General features: G+C 38.4%; 1 protein-coding gene and 1 non-coding gene across 13 annotated transcripts in view, besides 1 other annotated feature; both read left to right on the top strand.

The window, feature by feature from the left end:
* The window catches only part of BRD7 (bromodomain containing 7), a 53,032-nt gene that overhangs the window by 15,123 nt on the left and 18,370 nt on the right, over positions 1–19,539 (top strand). For 11 of the 12 annotated variants that reach the window (NM_013263.5, XM_011523049.3, XM_011523048.3 and 8 more), the window contains 3 exons: positions 3,699–3,843; positions 13,780–13,890; positions 18,971–19,155. In NM_013263.5, coding sequence (NP_037395.2) covers positions 3,699–3,843; positions 13,780–13,890; positions 18,971–19,155 — 441 coding nt within the window. Of the gene's footprint in view, positions 1–3,698; positions 3,844–12,683; positions 13,544–13,779; positions 13,891–18,970; positions 19,156–19,539 lie in introns of those variants that run through there. The other variant, XM_011523050.4, reaches the window with a different exon arrangement.
* Positions 1,574–1,677, top strand: LOC124903785 (small nucleolar RNA U13). The gene has a single exon (XR_007065231.1). It is a non-coding gene; the product is annotated as a small nucleolar RNA U13 (small nucleolar RNA).
* Positions 18,181–18,260: an enhancer, noted in NCBI's record as "active region_10816". NCBI's record gives its function as "activates an Ori minimal core promoter by ATAC-STARR-seq in GM12878 lymphoblastoid cells {active_cell/tissue: GM12878}" and the evidence as "EXISTENCE:reporter gene assay evidence [ECO:0000049][PMID:35858748]".

Raw genomic sequence — 19,539 nt, 5'->3', positions numbered from 1 at the left:
AGCACTTTGGGAGGCCGAGGCGGGCAGATCACGAGGTCAGGAGATTGAGACCATCCTGGCTAACATGGTGAAACCCCATCTGTACTTAAAAAAAAAAAAAAAAAAATTGCCAGGCATGGTGATGGGCGCCTGTAGTCCCAGCTACTTGGGAGGCTGAGGCAGGAGAATGGTGTGAACCCAGGAGATGGAGCTTGCAGTGAGCCGAGATTGCACCACTGCACTCCAGCCTGGGCAACAGAGCAAGATTCCGTCTCAAAAAATAAATAAATAAATAAATAAAATATATTTATTTTGATATCTCTCTACTCAGAGTTTAAATTTTCAGCTCAAAGATATTTCCATTATTTGCAAAGGGTTTATGGTTGTAGATCATACATTTTTACAGTGGACTTTCTTTCATTGTATTGAACTTAAGTCAACCCAGAACACATTGTAAATAATTTTTCTCTAATGTAATCTGTATTCAATGCCTGTTCAGGTTTGCAGTTAAGATCAGAAGTTAACCGAGTATAGTAGCTCACACCTGTAATCCCAACACTTTGGGAGGCTGAGGTGGGAGGATCAGTTGAGGCCAGGAGTTTAAGACCAGCCTGGGCAACATAGTGAGACCCCATCTCTACAAAAAAATAAAAATTATCCTAGTGTGGTTGCACACACCTGTAGTCCCAGCTCCAGAGACTGAGGTGGAAGGATCACTTGAGCCCAAGAGGTTGAGGCTACAGTGAGCTGTGATAGCACCATTGCACTCCAGCCTGGGCAACAGAATGAGATCTTTTCTAAAAAAAAAAAAAAAAGAACTTACTGATCTCTCTTCTTTTTTGGTGTTTGAGAAAAATTACATCTAGTCTTTATATTTAAATAACTTGTTCATTACTTCACTACTTGTCCGAAAGGAGTGAATAGGTATTGGGTATTCCATTGCAATTTACAAGGTGTGACTGTAAAATGTCATGGCTGCCTTAGAGTTTTTCTTGCAACGTAAGGCCAGAATGTAGGTTAATGATGTCACCTTAAAAGAAATGACTTAATTAAAAGAAGACATTCAAATGGCCAACAGGTATATGAAAAAATGCTCACCATCACTAATAATCAGAGAAATGCAAGTCAAAATCACCTCACCCCAATTAGAATGCCTGTTATCAAAAGACAAAAAAAAAAAAAAAACAAAGCTGGCAAGAATGTGGTAGAGAAAGGGAAATTGTATATACTGTTGGTGGAAATGTAAATTAGTATAGCCATTATGGACAACAAGTTCCTTAAAAAATTAAAAATAGAACTACCATATGATCCAGCAATTCAGCTACTGGGTATATATCCAAAGGTAATGAAATCAGTATGTCCAGGAGATACCTGTACTCTTGTGTTAATTGCAGTGCTATTCATAGTAGCCAAGATGGAATCAGTCTAAGTGCCCATCAATGGATGAATGCATTTTTTAAAATGTGGTATGTATACACAATGGAGTATTATTCCACCATTAAAAAGAATGAAATACTATCATTTGTAACAACATGGATGAACCTAGAGGACATCATGTTAAATAAGCCAAACACAGAAGAACAAATACTGCACGATCCTTTTGTAGTTCATAAGTGTAATGATTGGGTTTTCATGTTCCTTTGTGAGATATACCGCCCTCAAACTTTGTTACAACATCAGCACATTACCCATCTGATGTGAAGACAGAAAATATGGTGAGGGCACAAATATGACATCATCTCACTCATGTGGGATCTTAAAAAGTTGATTCATAGAAGTAGAGAGTAGAACAGTGGTTACCAGAGGCAAGGGAAAGGTAGAGGTTGGTCAGCAGGTACAGAATTACAGTTAGATGGGAGGAATAAGCTCTGGTCTTCTGTTGCACAGTAAGGTGACAGCAGTCCACAACCATTTATTATATACATCAGAATAGCTAAAAGAAAGGATTTTGAATGTTCTTATTCCAAAGAAATAACAAGTGTTTGGGGTGATAAATATGCTAATTACCTTGATTTGATTATTACACCTTATACATACATACATACATACATACAAGGATACACCGAAGTATCCTTGTATATATGTATGTTAGTATATATGTGTCGAAACATCACACTGTACCCTCTAAATATGTGCAATTATTATATGTCAATTAGAAACAAAGTCTTAATGAAAAAACACTTCAGGAAGTATTTCTTAGTCTAAAGACATTGGGAATTAGAACCCAGAGCCACACTGTTTTGATTAGTTTTAGTGATTGGATGATTCTTCATCCTTACCAGGAGCTAAGCCTGGTTTAAAAAATAAAAAATCTAGTTGATCAAGTTTGATAATAGCATTTTTGGTCAAAACTAGATGGGGCTCTGTATTAAAATGACTGACCTAGGAGTTAGATAATTTCCTCCAAAGGGTAGCTGCAGGAGGCCACCCAGGGGTGAATGCTGCCGTTACGGTAACTCCTGTGGACAGCGCACATTTTGATGTATGGGTCCTGACTATGTATTTTTGCTTGTTGTCATTTTTTAGTCTCACTGCTTAGGCATCCTGCTGTGAAAAACAAAGGCAGATTCACATAGACCTGAGTCAGATTTCTACTCTTTTATTTAATGCATGACTCAGGATAGATAATTTCAACCTCACTGAGCCTCAGTATCCTCCGGTAGTGGAGGATACCACCACTTTGATGGCTTTTGTGAGGATTCGATATAAAATATGTCAAGTGCCTACCACTGGGACTAGCAACATGGTAAATATGTTTTTAAAGAAGTTGTTATTTTTTAAACCATATTTTTACTGTTATTCTGTGGAGTAAGAAAACTTTTGGTGTGCCAGATTTCCAGAGGGAAAAAAAATTAGCATAATGATTTAATCATATAAAGCACTCATTCTCAACCTGACAATACTGGAAATACAAATGCCAAATATTCAAATCCCAATGCCAATACTCATCTGTGGAAATATCACTGCCTGGACCCTACCCTTCTTCCCCAAGAGCTTCTGGTACAGTGGGTCTAGGCTGAGTCTTCCTCCCGCTTCTTCCCCGCATTGGAATTTTTTTAAAGCTCCTGTGTGATTCTAGTGTACAGCCAGTGTTGTGAATCTGTGATGAAAAGCACTAGTTTTCAAATTTGAGTTTCTGATTTTGGGGTTTTTTTGGTCCAGTCCTGTCTTGGCACACATACGGAGGTATTTAAGAGGACCTTTTTAATGTCAGTTTTTTTAGCATCCCCCACATACACGTGATAGAAGTTATATCCATTTATGGAGAAAATAGACATGCATGGACCAGAAATGCAAGCCTATTAGAAATTAATATGGAGGATTGTAGATGTATGTTCATAGTTACTATTTTAGCCTTTTCCCCTTTGGTTGGTTAAAAATATGCAGTGCTAATCTCCCAAAGGTTAAAACATTGGTCAGTTAGTTGAGGTTGTTTATTTTGCTTCATGTTTTCCTGTATAAGTGTAGCTGTTAATGAGGCTGTGTATTTTAAAAGAAAGAAATCTCCATCCTGAGGGTACAGCTAGTATGTAAAACTTCCTTGTTATGAAATACTTAATAGACTTTAAAATCATTTCTTCAGTTTTCAGTTAAAAATATGTTAACATATTACAAATTCTTTCTGCATCTGAAGGGTTTCCTCTGACTTCTGCTCCTAGACCAATAGATTTGTTTGTAATAGAATAAAATATTACATTGTCTTTTGCATATCTTTACAGAAAAGATCCAAGTGCTTTCTTTTCATTTCCTGTGACTGATTTTATTGCTCCTGGCTACTCCATGATCATTAAACACCCAATGGATTTTAGTACCATGAAAGAAAAGATCAAGAACAATGACTATCAGTCCATAGAAGAACTAAAGGTAACTCTTCAATCCTATATACACAAAATCTTGGTAGAAATCTGCATGTCTGATATTCAGAATCTTTCTCATTGACCTTTTATTTTGCAAAGAATTGAGTTTATTTTAAGATCCAGTATCTTTGTTTATTTCTGCTTCAGAAAACTTTATGAGCTTGGTGATGGAAAACCAGATGAAATAGGTCCTCTGATATCTTTCATTCATAATTATTTTTGTCTTTAGCGAAATTTTGAGTTTGATATGTGTTCCACAGTATATTTTTTCCAACCTTAGAGTGAAATTTTTAGCTTAGATCAATACAAGTAAAACGAATATTTTAATGAAAGTTGAGGGTTTTTTCTATTTCTAGACATATGAGATATGCATATTGTATTAATCCATTCTTACACCGCTATACAGAACTGCCTGAGACTGGGTAATTTATGAAGAAAAGAGCTTTGATTAACTCACAGTTCCACAGGCTGTACAGGACACATGGCTGGAGAGACCCAAGGAAACTTACAATCGTACTGGAACATGAAGGGGAAGCAAGCACGTCTTCACATGGCAGCAGGAGAGAGTGAAGGGGGAAGTGCTACACACTTTCTTTTTTTTTTTTAGATGGTTTACATTTTTTTAATTTTTTTTTTTTTAATTTAAGTTCTAGGGTACATGTGCACAACGTGCAGGTTGGTTACATATATATTCATGTGCCATGTTGGTGCGCTGAACCCATTAACTCATCATTTACATTAGGTATATCTCCTAATGCTACCCCTCCCCCATGCCCCCACCCCACAACAGGCCCCGGTGTGTGATGTTCCCCACCCTGTGTCCAGGTGTTCTCATTGTTCAATTCCCACCTATGAGGGAGAACGTGCGGTGTTTGGTTTTCTGTCCTTGCCATAGTTTGCTCAGAAACAGCTTCATCCATGTCCCTACAAAGGACATGAACTCATCCTTTTTATGGCTGCATAGTATTCCATGGTGTATATGTGCCACATTTTCTTAATCCAGTCTATCATCGTTGGACATTTGGGTTGGTTCCAAGTCTTTGCTATTGTGAATAGTGCCACAATAAACATACGTGCGCATGTGTCTTTATAGCAGCATGATTTATAATCCTTTGGGTATATACCCAGTAATGGGATTGCTGGGTCAAATGCTATTTCTAGTTCTAGATCCTTGAGGAATCGCCACACTGTCTTCCACATGGTTGAACTAGTTTACAGTCCCACCAACAGTGTAAAAGTGTTCCTGTTTCTCCACATCCTTTCCAGCACCTGTTGTTTCCTGACTTTTTAATGATCACCGTTCTAACTGGTGTGAGATGGTATCTCATTGTGGTTTTGATTTGCATTTCTCCGACTGCCAGTGATGATGAGCATTTTTCACGTGTCTTCTGCATGAATGTCTTCTTTTGAGAAGTGTCTGTTCATATCCTTTGCCCACTTTTTGATGGGGTTGTTTGATTTTTTCTTGTAGATTTGTTTAAGTTCTTTGTAGATTCTGGATATTAGCCCTTTGTCAGATGGATAGACTGTGAAAATTTTCTCCCATTCTGTAGGTTGCCTGTTCACTCTGATGGTAGTTTCTTTTGCTGTGCAGAAGCTCTTTAGTTTAATGAGATCCCATTTGTCAATTTTGGCTTTTGTTGCCATTGCTTTTGGTGTTTTAGTCATGAAGTCCTTGCCCATGCCTATGTCCTGAATGGTATAGCCTAGGTTTTCTTCTAGGGTTTTTATGGTTTTAGGTCTAACATTTAAGTCTCTAATCCATCTTGAATTAATTTTTGTATAAGGTGTAAGGAAGGGATCCAGTTTCAGCTTTCTACATATGGCTAGCCAGTTTTCCCAGCACCATTTATTAAATAGGGAATTCTTTCTCCCTTTCTTGTTTTTGTCAGGTTTGTCAAAGATCAGATGGTTGTAGATGTGTGTTATTATTTCTGAGTGCTCTGTTCTGTTCCATTGTTCTCTGTCTCTGTTTTGGTACCAGTACCATGCTGTTTTGGTTACTGTAGTCTTGTAGTATAGTTTGAAGTCAGGTAGTGTGATGCCTCCAGCTTTGTTCTTTTGGCTTAGGATTGACTTGGCAATGCAGGCTCTTTTTTGGTTCCATATGAACTTTAAAGTAGTTTTTTCCAATTCTGTGAAGAAAGTCATTGGTAGCTTGATGGGGATGGCATTGAATCTATAAATTACCTTGGGCACTATGGCCATTTTCACGATATTGATTCTTCCTACCCATGAGCATGGAATGTTCTTCCATTTGTTTGTATCCTCTTTTATTTCATTGAGCAGTGGTTTATAGTTCTCCTTGAAGAGGTCCTTCACATCCCTTGTGAGTTGGATTCCTAGCTATTTTATTCTCTTTGAAGCAATTGTGAATGGGATTTCACTCATGATTTGGCTCTCTGTTTGTCTGTTATTGGTGTATAGGAATGCTTGTGATTTTTGTACATTGATTTTGTATCCTGAGACTTTGCTGAAGTTGCTTATCAGCTTAAGGAGATTTTGGGCTGAGACGATGGGGTTTTCTAAATATACAATCATGTCATCTGCAAACAGGGACAATTTGACTTCCTCTTTTCCTAATTGAATACCCTTTATTTCTTTCTCCTGCCTGATTGCCCTGGCCAGAACTTCCAACACTATGTTAAATAGGAGTGGTGAGAGAGGTCATCCCTGTCTTGTGCCAGTTTTCAAAGGGAATGCTTCCAGTTTTTGCCTTTCGGTATGATATTGGCTGTGGTTTTGTCATAAATAGCTCTTATTATTTTGAGATATGTCCTATCAATACCTAGTTTATTGAGAGGTTTTAGCATGAAGGGCTGTTGAATTTTGTCAAAGGCCTTTTCTGCATCTATTGAGATAATCATGTGGTTTTTGTCTTTGGTTCTGTTTATATGCTGGATTACGTTTATTGATTTGCATATATTGAACCAGCCTTGCCTCCCAGGGATGAAGCCAACTTGATCGTGGTGGATAAGCTTTTTGATGTGCTGCTGGATTTGGTTTGCCAGTATTTTATTGAGGATTTTTGCATCGATGTTCATCAGGGATATTGGTCTAAAATTCTCTTTTTTTGTTGTGTCTCTACCAGGCTTTGGTATCAGGATGATGCTGGCCTCATAAAATGAGTTAGGGAGGATTCCCTCTTTTTCTATTGATTGGAATAGTTTCAGAAGGAATAGTACCAGCTCCTCTTTGTACCTCTGGTAGAATTTGGCTGTGAATCCATCTAGTCTTGGACTTTTTTTGGTTGGTAGGCTATTGCCTCAATTTCAGAGCCTCTTATTGGTCTATTCAGGGATTCAGCTTCTTCCTGGTTTAGTCTTGGGAGGGTGTATGTATCCAGGAATTTATCCATTTCTTCTAGATTTTCTAGTTTATTTGCATGGAGGTGTTTATAGTATTCTCTGATGGTAGTTTCTATTTCTGTGGGATCAGTGGCGATATCCCCTTTATCATTTTTTATTGCATCTATTTGATTCTTCTCTGTTTTCTTCTTAGTCTTGCTAGTGGTCTATCAATTTTGTTGATCTTTTCAAAAAACCAGTTCCTGGATTCATTGATTTTTTTGAAGGGTTTTTTGTATCTCTATCTCCTTCAGTTCTGCTCTGATCTTAGTTATTTCTTGCCTTCTGCTAGGTTTTGAATGTGTTTGCTCTTGCTTCTCTAATTTTTTTAATTGTGATGTTAGGGTATCAATTTTAGATCTTTCCTGCCTTCTCTTGTGGGCATTTAGTGCTATAAATTTCCCTCTACACACTGCTTTAAATGTGTCCCAGAGATTCTGGTATGTTGTGTGTTTGTTCTCATTGGTTTCAAAGAACATCTTTATTTCTGCCTTCATTTCGTTATGTACCTGGTAGTCATTCAGGAGCAGGTTGTTCAGTTTCCATGTAGTTGAGCGGTTTTGAGTGAGTTTCTTAATCCTGAGTTCTAGTTTGATTGCACTGTGGTCTGAGAGACAGTTTGTTATAATTTCTGTTCTTTTACATTTACTGAGGAGTGCTTTACTTCCAACTGTGTGGTCAATTTTGGAATAAGTGCAGTGTGGTGCTGAGAAGAATGTATATTCTGTTGATTTAGGGTGGAGAGTTCTGTAGATGTCTATTAGGTCTGCTTGGTGCAGAGCTGAGTTCAATTCCTGGATATCCTTGTTAACTTTCTGTCTCGTCGATCTGTCTAATGTTGACAGTGGGGTGTTAAAGTTTTGCATTATTATTGCGTGTGAGTCTAAGTCTCTTTTTAGGTAACTCAGGACTTGCTTTATGAATCTGGGTGCTCCTGTATTGGGTGCATATATATTTAGGATAGTTAGCTCTTCTTGTTGAATTGATCCCTTTACCATTATGTAATGGCCTTCTTTGTCTCTTTTGATCTTTGTTGGTTTAAAGTCTGTTTTATCAGAGACTAGGATTGCAACCCCTGCCTTTTTCTGTTTTCCATTTGCTTGGTAGATCTTCCTCCATCCCTTTATTTTGAGCCTATGTGTGTCTCTGCACATGAGATGGGTTTCCTGAATACAGCACACTGATGGGTCTTGACTCTTTATCCAATTTGCTAGTCTGTGTCTTTTAATTGGAGCATTTAGCCCATTTACATTTAAGGTTAATATTGTTATGTGTGAATTTGATCCTGTCATTATGATGTTAGCTGGTTATTTTGCTCGTTAGTTGATGCAGTTTCTTTCTAGCCTTGATGGTCTTTACAATTTGGCCTGTTTTTGCAGTGGCTGGTACTGGTTATTCCTTTCCACGTTTAGTGCTTCCTTCAGAAGCTCTTGTAAGACAGGCCTGGTGATGACAAAATCTGTCAGCATTTGTTTGTCTGTAAAAGATTTTATTTCTCCTTCACTTATGAAGCTTAGTTTGGCTGGATATGAAATTCTGGGTTGAAAATTCTTTTCTTTAAGAATGTTGAATATTGGCTCCCACTCTCTTCTGGCTTATAGGGTTTCTGCTGAGAGATCTGCTGTTAGTCTGATGGGCTTCCCTTTGGTGGGTAACCTGACCTTTCTCTCTGGCTGCCCTTAACATTTTTTCCTTCATTTCAACTTTGGTGAATCTGACAATTATGTGTCTTGGAGTTGCTCTTCTCGAGGAGTATCTTTGTGGCATTCTCTGTATTTCCTGAATTTGAATATTGGCCTGCCTTGCTAGGTTGGGGAAGTTCTCCTGGATAATATCCTGAAGAGTGTTTTCCAACTTGGTTCCATTCTCCCCATCACTTTCAGGTACACCAATCAGATGTAGATTTGGCCTTTTCACATAGTCCAATATTTCTTGGAGGCTTTGTTCATTTCTTTTCACTCCTTTTCCTCTAAACTTCTCTTTTTGCTTCATTTCATTCATTTGATCTTCAATCATTGATACCCTTTCTTCCACTTGATCAAATCGGCTACTGAAACTTGTGCATGCATCACGTAGTCCTCGTGCCATGATTTTCAGCTCCATCAGGTCAGTTAAGGTCTTCTCTACCCTATTTAATGTAGTTAGCCATTCGTCTAATCTTTTTTCAAGGTTTTTAGCTTCTTTGCAATGGGTTCAAACATCTTCCTTGAGCTCAGAGAAGTTTGTTATTACTGATCGTCTGAAGCATTCTTCTCTCAACTCATCAAAGTCTTTCTCCCTCCAGCTTTGTTCCGTTGCTGGCAAGGAGCTGCGTTCCTTTGGAGGAGAAGAGGTGCTCTGATTTGTAGAATTTTCAGCTTTTCCGCTCTGGTTTCTCCCCGTCTTTGTGGTTTTATGTACCTTTGGTCTTTGATGATGGTGACATACAGATGGAGTTTTGGTGCGGATGTCCTTTCTATTTGTTAGTTTTTCTTCTAACAGTCAGGACCCTCAGCTGCAGGTCTGTTGGAGTTTGCTGGGGGTCTACTCCAGACCCTGTTTGGGTATCACCAGCAGAGGCTGCAGAACAGCAAATATTGCAGAATGGTACATGTTGCTGCCCGATCCTTCCTCTGGAAGCTTCATCTCAGAGGGGCACCCAGCTGTATGAGGTGTCAGTTGGCCCCTACAGGGAGGTGCCTCCCAGTTAGGCTACTCGGGGGTCAGGGACTCACTTCAGGAGGTAGTCTGTCCGTTCTCAGATCTCAAACTCCATGCTGGCAGAACCACTACTCTCTTCAAAGCTGTCAGACAGGGACGTTTAAGTCTGCAGAAGTTTCTGCTGCCTTTTGTTCAGCTATGCCCTGCCCCCAGAGGTAGGCTCCACCCAGTTCGAGCTTCCCGGTGGCTTTGTTTACCTACTCAAGCCTCAGCAGTGGTGGGCGCCCCTCCCCCAGCCTCACTGCTGCCTTGCAGTTCAATCTCAGACTGCTGTGCTAACAGTGAGTGAGGCTCCGTGGGCATGGGACCCTCTGAGCCATGCGCGGGATATAATCTGGTGTGCCATTTGCAAAGACCATTGGAAAAGCACAGTATTAGGGTGGGAGTGTCCTGATTTTCCAGGTACAGTCTGTCACAGCTTCCCTTGGCTAGGAAAGGGAATTCCCCAACCCCTTGTGCTTCCTGAGTGAGGTGATTCCCTGCCCTGCTTCGGCTCACACTCTGTGGGCTGCACCCACTGTCCGACAAGCCCCAGTGAGATGAACCCAGTACCTCAGTTGGAAATGCAGAAATCACCAGTCTTCTGCATCACTCATGCTGGGAGCTGTAGACTGGATCTGTTCCTATTCGGCCACCTTGGAACCTATCACTACACACTTTCAAACAACCAGATCTTGTGAGGACTCATTATCACAAGAACAGCAAGGGGGATATCTGCCTCCATGATCAAATCACCTCCCACCAGGTCCTTCCCCCAACATTGGGGATTACAATTCAACATGAGATTGGGGTGGGGACAGAGAGCCAAACCATATCACATGTACTCTAAAGTAAAGAATAAATTGGCTTGTCCAGAAATACTAAAGAGAAGTTTAATTACATTTTCTAATTTGATGAAAGTTAATTGCTCTCTGAGTTCATTTTGGCTATATTTGTTGAGCATATTTTCTTCAGCTTTAAGAAGAGTATAGAAAATTTACAAGGACCTGAAAACTTATAATATATATACCTATTATAGATGAGGTTTTTCCCATTTGAGGGAGTGTCCTGGTGTGTGTTGATTCCAGGGAAAGGAACCATGTATATTAAAATTTACTATGTATTCAACCGCCACAAACTTAATTGGTTTAGATAATATCTGTTTTACCTCTACTTTGTTTTACATAACCACAGTAGTGCTCACCTGACCTATAAGGGTTAGACCCTAATTGGTTACCCTAATTAGTTATTTTCCTAAAAATAAAATAAGATAGTGTCTTTATGGCCAGGTGTGGTGGCTTACACCTGTAATCCCAGCACTTCCGGAGGCCGAGGCAGGTGGATCACAAGGTCAGGAGATCAAGACCATCCTGGGTAACACAGTGAAACCCCGTCTCTACTGAAAATACAAAAAAATTGGCTGAGTGTGGTGGCGGATGCCTGTAGTCCCAGCTACTCGGGAGGCTGAGGCCGGAGAATGGCGTGAACCCAGGAGGCAGAGCTTGCGACAGAGTGAGACTCCATCTCAAAAAAAAAAAAAAAAAAAAAGACAGTGTCTTTACTTAGTCCCTTTTTTCATCCACATATTGATAAGCAGAGATTTATGAAGAATATCAGTGTTTAGTGCTCTTTACTGTTGAGTTTATAGGTAATATTCCACTTTCTCCAAAGAATCTGAATTACATTCTCTCTTATTTCGAGAAATAGAAACTTTTCCCAACTTTTTATCTGGTGAAAATTAGGCTAAAACCGTTTATTTCAGCATATTTCTGACCTTACCATTGCTTAATGGGAAAGAATTTCACAGTTTTTTGTTTTTTGTTTTTTTTCTGCATGATTTTCCTCTGATCTTTCTCTTACAGTAAGAAGAGTAGAAGTGTGTCCCCAGAGTGTTTTTAAGCAGGTTAGGGTTTATCATAATTGAAAGGAATTGGTATCTTAGCTCTTTAGAATTTCTACGTTGCCACTTTTTTCTAGGGAAAGCTCAACGGCCTAAAGTAATATTTATTCAGTTCATTTGGCAGTTGAAGTAAAATGTGTGTGTGTGTGTGTGTGTGTGTGTGTGTGTGTGTGTGAAAAGTGTGCAGGAAGACTCAGCTTTTTGAATGACCAGTGCCATCACCCACAGTTCAGTAAAGCCCAGCACATTATGTTAAGATTTAAGGAATCTACAAATTGGCTTAATAGATCAGTCCTGTGTTCATTAGAACAATTCAGTACTCTTGCCAGTTCATAGGCCCATTATCTGGCCAATTATAGGCCAAATGGTCACTTAGTTTGAGTATATATAGTAATCTAGTATCTCCGTTCACTTGCGTCCCATCCCCCCAAATACATATTTAATTTTTTTTTTTTTTTTTTGAGACCGAGTCTCACTCTGTTGCTCAGGCTGGAGTGCAGTGGCATGATCTTGGCTCACTGCAACCTCCACGTTCAGGGTTCAAGCAATTGTTGTGCCTCAGCCTCCCAAGTAGCTGGGACTACAGGGGTGTGTCACCACACCCAGCTAATTTTTTTGTATTTTTAGTAGAGACGGGGTTTCACCATGTTGCCCTGACCAGTCTCAAACTCCTGGGCTCAAGCAGTCCACCTGCCTCGGCCTCCCAAAGTGCTAGAATTATAAGGGTGAGCCACTATGCCCAGCCTAGTAATTCTTAATGGCCTGGAAGCTTTTCCAAATATCTGTAACAAAGGTCTTTAATCTAGGGTCCTTTGGATACCATAATGAGCCTTTAGAGGGACCAAGAACCTACTAAAATTACATGAAGACTTTTGTGTTCAGCTGTGTGTGTGTGTGTGTGTGTGTGTGTGTGTGTGTGTGTGTGTACTTAAGGTCTGGTCCCATAGCTTTCATCAGATGCTTAGAGATCCAAGACCTGGCATATTTACAGTCATGGCCCAAACTGAAGATCCACATATACTTCATCCACTTTAATACCAAATTTATTGCGACCCTTCACTCAGTCTTACGTACTTGTACATAGAACTCAGTCTACTTATTTTTGTTCTATTTAAGTGTTCTAACCTGTCATCACTATTAAATAGTGGAATTTGAATTTTTTTTGTTTTTTAAACAAATTTGTAGGGGGCAGATTCTCTTTTCTTGGGTTTTTCTTTCAACTTAGTAAGGCCTTGGCATAATGAATCGCACATTTATAGATGTAAAAATTACTTAACTATGAAAGCATGCAGTGGGGTCAAGTTCTCCAGCACATAGCGGACTTGGAAATTTAAGCCAAAAAGACAGTTTTGGTAATTTGGCTACTCCAGTTACATGTTTTAACTCCTTGAGGTTGTATGGTTTATTTCACATTGGCATGGTTTTGCAACATTCTGCAAATTATGTTTAGTTTATGATAGTATCCAAACACATAAAAGTAGTGTAAATGTTTTAACATTTTTTGCTCAGTTAATGTGAATTTGGCAGGAAATACTGCGATAATTTAGGACTGCTCCGTTTTCAGTCAAGATCTGAAATAAAATGTTCAATTCCTAAATGGAAATTTAAGATGTTTGTTTTAAAGCTAGGAGTAATATTTTTTTTATTTACATGAACTACTCAGCTAAAATCATTACATATGAAATAGAAGTATTTTCTTCACATTTTTTTTATGTGCAGTAAGATTATACTGAAGAAACCCATTTAAAAGTTTCATTCTGGGATCTACAGTTTATATACAGGTACTATAAAATATTTAAGAATTTGGGAAATAATATAGCATATTTAAATACATTTAGCAGTATTTGTTTTGTTGGTGAGTCTTAAAACTTAATAAATTACTGTTAGTATTGTTTAGTAAATAAAGAAAGGGATGTTGCTTTTTAAATTTTTAGAGGACCTGTATATTTTCAACCTGGGGGTGCAGGGTAGTTTGTTTTGCATTAATGCATTTTCTCCCTTAATGTTCTTTCTGCAGGATAACTTCAAACTAATGTGTACTAATGCCATGATTTACAATAAACCAGAGACCATTTATTATAAAGCTGCAAAGAAGCTGTTGCACTCAGGAATGAAAATTCTTAGCCAGGTAAAGGAAACTCTTTGTCATAAATAATAGTTATTAAAATCTGTGTCGCTGTTTGTTGGCCATAGTAATACAGATACAATACAGTATTGATTTTATTTTATTAGCAGGTTATATTATATTAAATAAAGTAGAAAATACTAAATGAAAAAAATTTTAATAAAGAGAAGAAAATTAAGACAGGAAAATTCTTACTTGGAATCAATACAAATAAATATTGGCATTCACTTGTAATTATCTCTTAAGACATAAAACATCAGCTTGAAACATCAGCCTGAATTCCAGGATAAGACTGGCTGAATTGTGAGAACTCTGAAGAGGAAAGCTCTCTGTTTGCATTTGTAGGGGTGGAATCTAACGTTGGTCAGTCCTGTCAGAAGCACAGAATTTCTAGTAAGAAAATACAGTCATGCGCTGCATAATACTGTATATACAGACTGCATATACAGTGGTGGTTCCATAAGATTGTAATACTGTATTTTTACTGTACTTTTGTTATATTTAAATGCACACATACTTAGCATTGTGTTACAGCTGTCTGCAGTATTCAGTATGGTAACATGCTGTATAGGTTCCTAGCCTAGGAGCAGTAGGCTATATCATTTAGCCAGGTGTCTGATAGGCTATACCATCTAGGTTTGTGTGAGTGTACTCATTGATGGTCACACAACAAAATTGCCTAACAGTACATTTCTCAGAACGCGTCCCTTCATTAAGCTACATGTGACTATATACAAATGAGAGAAAATTTGAAACTGTCTCAAAACCACCTCTCCACAACAGCAGACTCTTCCTTAAAGGGTAAGAATTAGTGCATAGTAAGTCATTTGAGGTCAGAGAAGTGTGTGCGTAGGCACAGACACATCATCATCAAACTGCAGGAAAGAGCGTAAACATGAGATATTATACACAGTGGCAAAAAATTACTAGTGTCCCCAGGACGACAGTTGATAAAAGGCTTTGAAGGGTAAGCTGAGATGATCACTGTGCATCCGCTGGAGAAAATAACTCGCAAGATAAGCCATATCTTTTGAGGTTTTTCTCACCACTCTGAGTGGGAGAAACCTATGTAAGAGACTACTTTAGGGAACGAATCAAGGGTGATCCTGGCACCATACCATACCATGGCAGGCAGGCAGAAGAGAGTTTTCATTTTAGCTCTCTTCCACTAACTTGTGGACTTTGGGCAAGACATTAACTACCCTGGGACTCAGTGTTCTCATCCCTAAAGAAGGGTTTAGTCTGTGGTCTCCAAGATGATTTCTAGCATTACTGTTCTGATTCTAGATAAGAGGTAGAGTAGAGAGGATACTATGAAAAAGAACCACAAGATAGGACAGGGATTTTGCAAAGAAGAAATGAGTGGGTATAAGACACTGGTAGAAGGAGAAAGGAATCAGAGTCCAGAGCTTGAGCTCACATTCAGGGGAGTTAAAGGATGATAAAAATGAGTCGTGCATCTGCATGTGGTTTTTCGATTTTTATGGTGATTCATTTTTCTGTATTACAGTTTTACATTTAAAGAAATGCCTTGGTGTGCAGATGTCTGAGTGTCTGTATGCTTGGCTGAGAGATTCTTGGATTCACTTAACTAGAGAAAGAAAAACATGTTTGGATTGTTGATTATTCTTGCGCTCCTAATATTTAGACAACTTTGGTTCCCACCCTTTCCTAAAGACTTGGGAAACTAATGGAAGCCAGTTACCCATCTTTGACAACATTCGCAGAGGAAAGAGGAATATGAAATGTTTACCCATTCTTTGCAGGAAGACTCTCAGAATCTAGAACCATGCCATATTCCAGGTTTAAAGACATGGAAATGCTTCTTGTTAATGTATTTGAAGTAAAAATGCATTTGTCAAATGCAGCCTTTAGTCACTCCAAAATATGTACATTGAATTGGGTGGTGGGAGCCTAATTTTTAATGACCTTTGATTTACCACTTCCTTAAGTAATGTAGTTAATACAACAAGCAAAAGATTCCATTATCTCTTGAATTTTACTGGCGTGTGGAATGGTTGAAAGCACAGAAAATAAAATTTTCTTCACTTTCCCTTCCCTCTCTCCCTCTTTCTTTCTCTCTGTTGTCTTCCTTTTTTTCAGATCTTTTGCTGTTGAGGAGCCCCACCCATCCTGTGTTATTAGCTTCCTATTGACTGTTCTCTCCACCCTACAGGGGAGGGGTCGTCACAACAGTGATTTTTAAACGTTTAAATTTAGACCTTTTGAGTTAACTCTTCTAATAGTTTGTGCTCCAAGAGAGCCCAGCACACCCTTCCGTGAATGGTGTCTTTTCAAAGATAACTGTTTTTGAATGTTCATTGAAAAAATTGTAGAGTAGTCACTCATCATTTTTTCAGTTACACTCAAATAACAACTATTAGTAGACGTGTTATTTTTATAAAGAATGAACAGATGAGGCCAGGAACAGTGGCTCATGCCTGTAATCCCAACACTTTGGGAGGCTGAGGTGGGCGGATCATCTGAGGTCAGGAGTTTGAGACCAGCATGACCAACATGGAAAAACTCCGTCTCTACTAAAAATACAAAATTAGTTGGGCGTGGTGGTGCATGCCTGTAATTCCAGCTACTCAGGAGGCTGAGGCAGGAGAATCGCTTGAACCTGGGAGGTGGAGGTTGTGGTGAGCCAAGATCACGCCACTGCACTCCAGCCTGGGCAACAAGAGGGAAACTCCGTCTCAAAAAAAAAAAAAAAAAAAAAGAAGAATGAACAGATGAAGAGTAACTTTTTATCTCCTAAATAAATACTTGAGTAAAATGCTGCATTGTAGTACAAACAAAGTAGTACAAACAATACTATTTGTAGCATAGTGGCTTTGAAATCAGACCAATCAAGGTTCAAGTCCTAGCTCTACCCTTTGGAAGCTGTGTGACTTTAGCCCAGGTAACCTTTGTCAGCCTTTTTCCTGTCCTGTAAAGTGGGGATAATAGTAGTACTTACCTCATGGAGTTGTGTCTGGCACATGGGTAAGCACTAAGTAAATGTTAGCTATATTATTAGCAAAGAACCAGCCCTGTTAGCCATTTAATATTGTAAAATTGAAGATCAATAATGTGCTGACTTGGAGGCATTTTAATTACCAAAAAAAGAAAAAGACATTGCTTTCAAAGGAAAATTAAACTTCACTCTTTCCTGGGACTTGTTTCAAGGTTTAGAAACTTTCTCTAATTGAATTTATTTTGTGCATGTCGTGTTTTTTAAAACCCCAAAGCATTCTTAATGTAAGTTCTGCTTTATAAAATTCTAGAGTGGAAATAAAATTATTACTGAGAACTTACAGAAATAATTAAACTCACTAATATTTTTAATGTAGCAAAATAAAACGTGTTTTTAAAAATCAAATAAGATTGCTTTTTGTTGTTGTTTGTGTTTTTTGTTTTTTGTTTTGTTTTTTTGAGACGGAGTCTCACTCTGTCACCCAGGCTGGAGTGCAGTGGCGCAATCTCGGCTCACTGCAACCTCTGCCTCCCGGGTTCAAGCGATTCTAATGGGTTAGCTTTTTAAGTGATACTATTGATTTTGTCAAGGATTCAGAGAAACTTTCAAACACTAATGTAAATTAGTATGTAAATTGGTATACCTTTTCTGGAAAGCAGTAATTATCAAAAGTCTCAAAAATATTCATTCCCTTTGACTTTGTTTCCTTTCTAAGAGTTTATCCTAAAGAGATACTGGTTCCTAGAGAGATTTATTTATAATGATGTTGATGGTACTTTTATTTATAATAGTGGAAACATGGAAATCTAAATGTTCAATCATAGGCCATTAATTAAATCATGGTGTAGACGTGGGATTAAATAGTTATTAAAATATTTTAAATATCTATTGATATGGAGAGGAAATGCTTATAATTTATTAACTGAAAAAATGCTTTTTACTAAATATTCAGTATAATTCCAATTTGCTGGGTTATGTAATGGTTGGAAAAGTACTGGAATAATAAACTTGTTAACACTGTTCTTCTCTGGATGAGACATTAGGAGGATTTTTATTTTCTCCTCTACCCATATTTTTATTTGTCCACAATAAAATAGATCGCTTTAATGGTTTTAAGATTACTTTAAAAGTCCAGTAAAAAACAGCAAGAACTGTGTTGGTGAGGATGTCACCATCTGCACTACTAATAGAGCATGGTGTGATGAGGAAAGGCCCAACATGAGTGACAGCAAGCCTAGTCTTAGTTGCTGGTTTAGTGACCTTAGGTGAGTCATTTGTTGTTCCTGGGCTGCGTTGTTCTTGTTTGAATGGCCTCTGGTTCTTTCTAGTTCTTAGTTTATGTTACTCCACAGAAGTCTTCCCTGCTGTTGCTGTGCAGCCCTAAGGAGGTTGCACTCTATTTTACCCAGTGATAACTTTCAGAGTACAGGCAAGGTAGTCAGTAGAAACAAATATGCCTTCTTAAAATTTACGGAGAAACCTCAAGCCCTTAACTACAATGAAAATTTCACAGCACATCATTGCAGCGAAAAATTAAGCACATGTTTCACAGAATAGAAACAAGACTTCTTTGGTTAGCGAAACCATTCTGCACTCTGAGGAAGGAACTGTGCCACCAACTGTCTTCTCCTCAAGGCTTGTTGTTTTCACACAGAGTGAAATGCCAGCGTCATCCGTGAGCACACTGGGCTACCAGAACAGAGAGGGACTTCACACGCTCACATGCCCTAGGCTTTGATACACCTAACAGTTCTTAACTGTCAAAAGATAAGCCTGTCTGTTAAACACAAAATGTTAACACACCATTAAACTAAATTTTAGTCTTCCAATTCAGTACTTCAAAGAATACTTAGTCTTAATTCATACTTTCTCCTCTGTTAAATTTCTGATAGGGCAATAAAGTTGTAAAGCTTTCTATGAAGTTGGAAATTAAATTTTAAGAATTGAAGGTGTAGGCATTATCATGGTTTCCAAATACAATACTCTCTTGGTATATGATTACATTTAATTGTTTTTCTTCCCTGGTTAATGACAGGATAAGTATAAACTCCTGTGGGGAAAAAAATGCATTACTTTAAAAGTTAATGACAAACATATAATAAGAATATTTTCGAATATGTTTAGGAAAGAATTCAGAGCCTGAAGCAGAGCATAGACTTCATGGCTGACTTGCAGAAAACTCGAAAGCAGAAAGATGGAACAGACACCTCACAGAGTGGGGAGGACGGAGGCTGCTGGCAGAGAGAGAGAGAGGACTCTGGAGATGCCGAAGCACACGCCTTCAAGAGTCCCAGCAAAGAAAATAAAAAGTAAAAGATCTTTGGGATGTTAAGGTCAAACTGTCTTCTTCAAGCTAGTAAGGGGGAAAAATACTTATTCGGGGCCTGACTTGGGAAGACCAAGTGCTAGTGTGTCGGTGGTGGTGGTGTTTTGGCATGAAAGTCCATTTTGATGGTGTGATACCCCTCTTCTCATATGAAGCACTATATGGGATTGTCCAAACACAGTTCAGAAAGCAGTTCTAATGTGTATTCTTATTGAAGTAGTTTTAAAACCTATAAAGTGTCTTTTGGGACTGATATGGTCAGTGAGTTTATTTAAATAGAACTGTTTGTTTAAGAAAAAATGCATAGTCATTACCTCCTTCCATAAAGGAGCAAGGAGTTCAGTGGGAGCACAGGCACTGCTGCGTC

The sequence above is a fragment of the Homo sapiens genome, chromosome 16, assembly GCF_000001405.40.
Source record: "Homo sapiens chromosome 16, GRCh38.p14 Primary Assembly".
Taxonomy (NCBI): Eukaryota; Metazoa; Chordata; class Mammalia; order Primates; family Hominidae; genus Homo; species Homo sapiens.
Note: the sequence above shows the minus strand (reverse complement) of the source record. Positions and strands in the feature narration are given on the sequence as shown.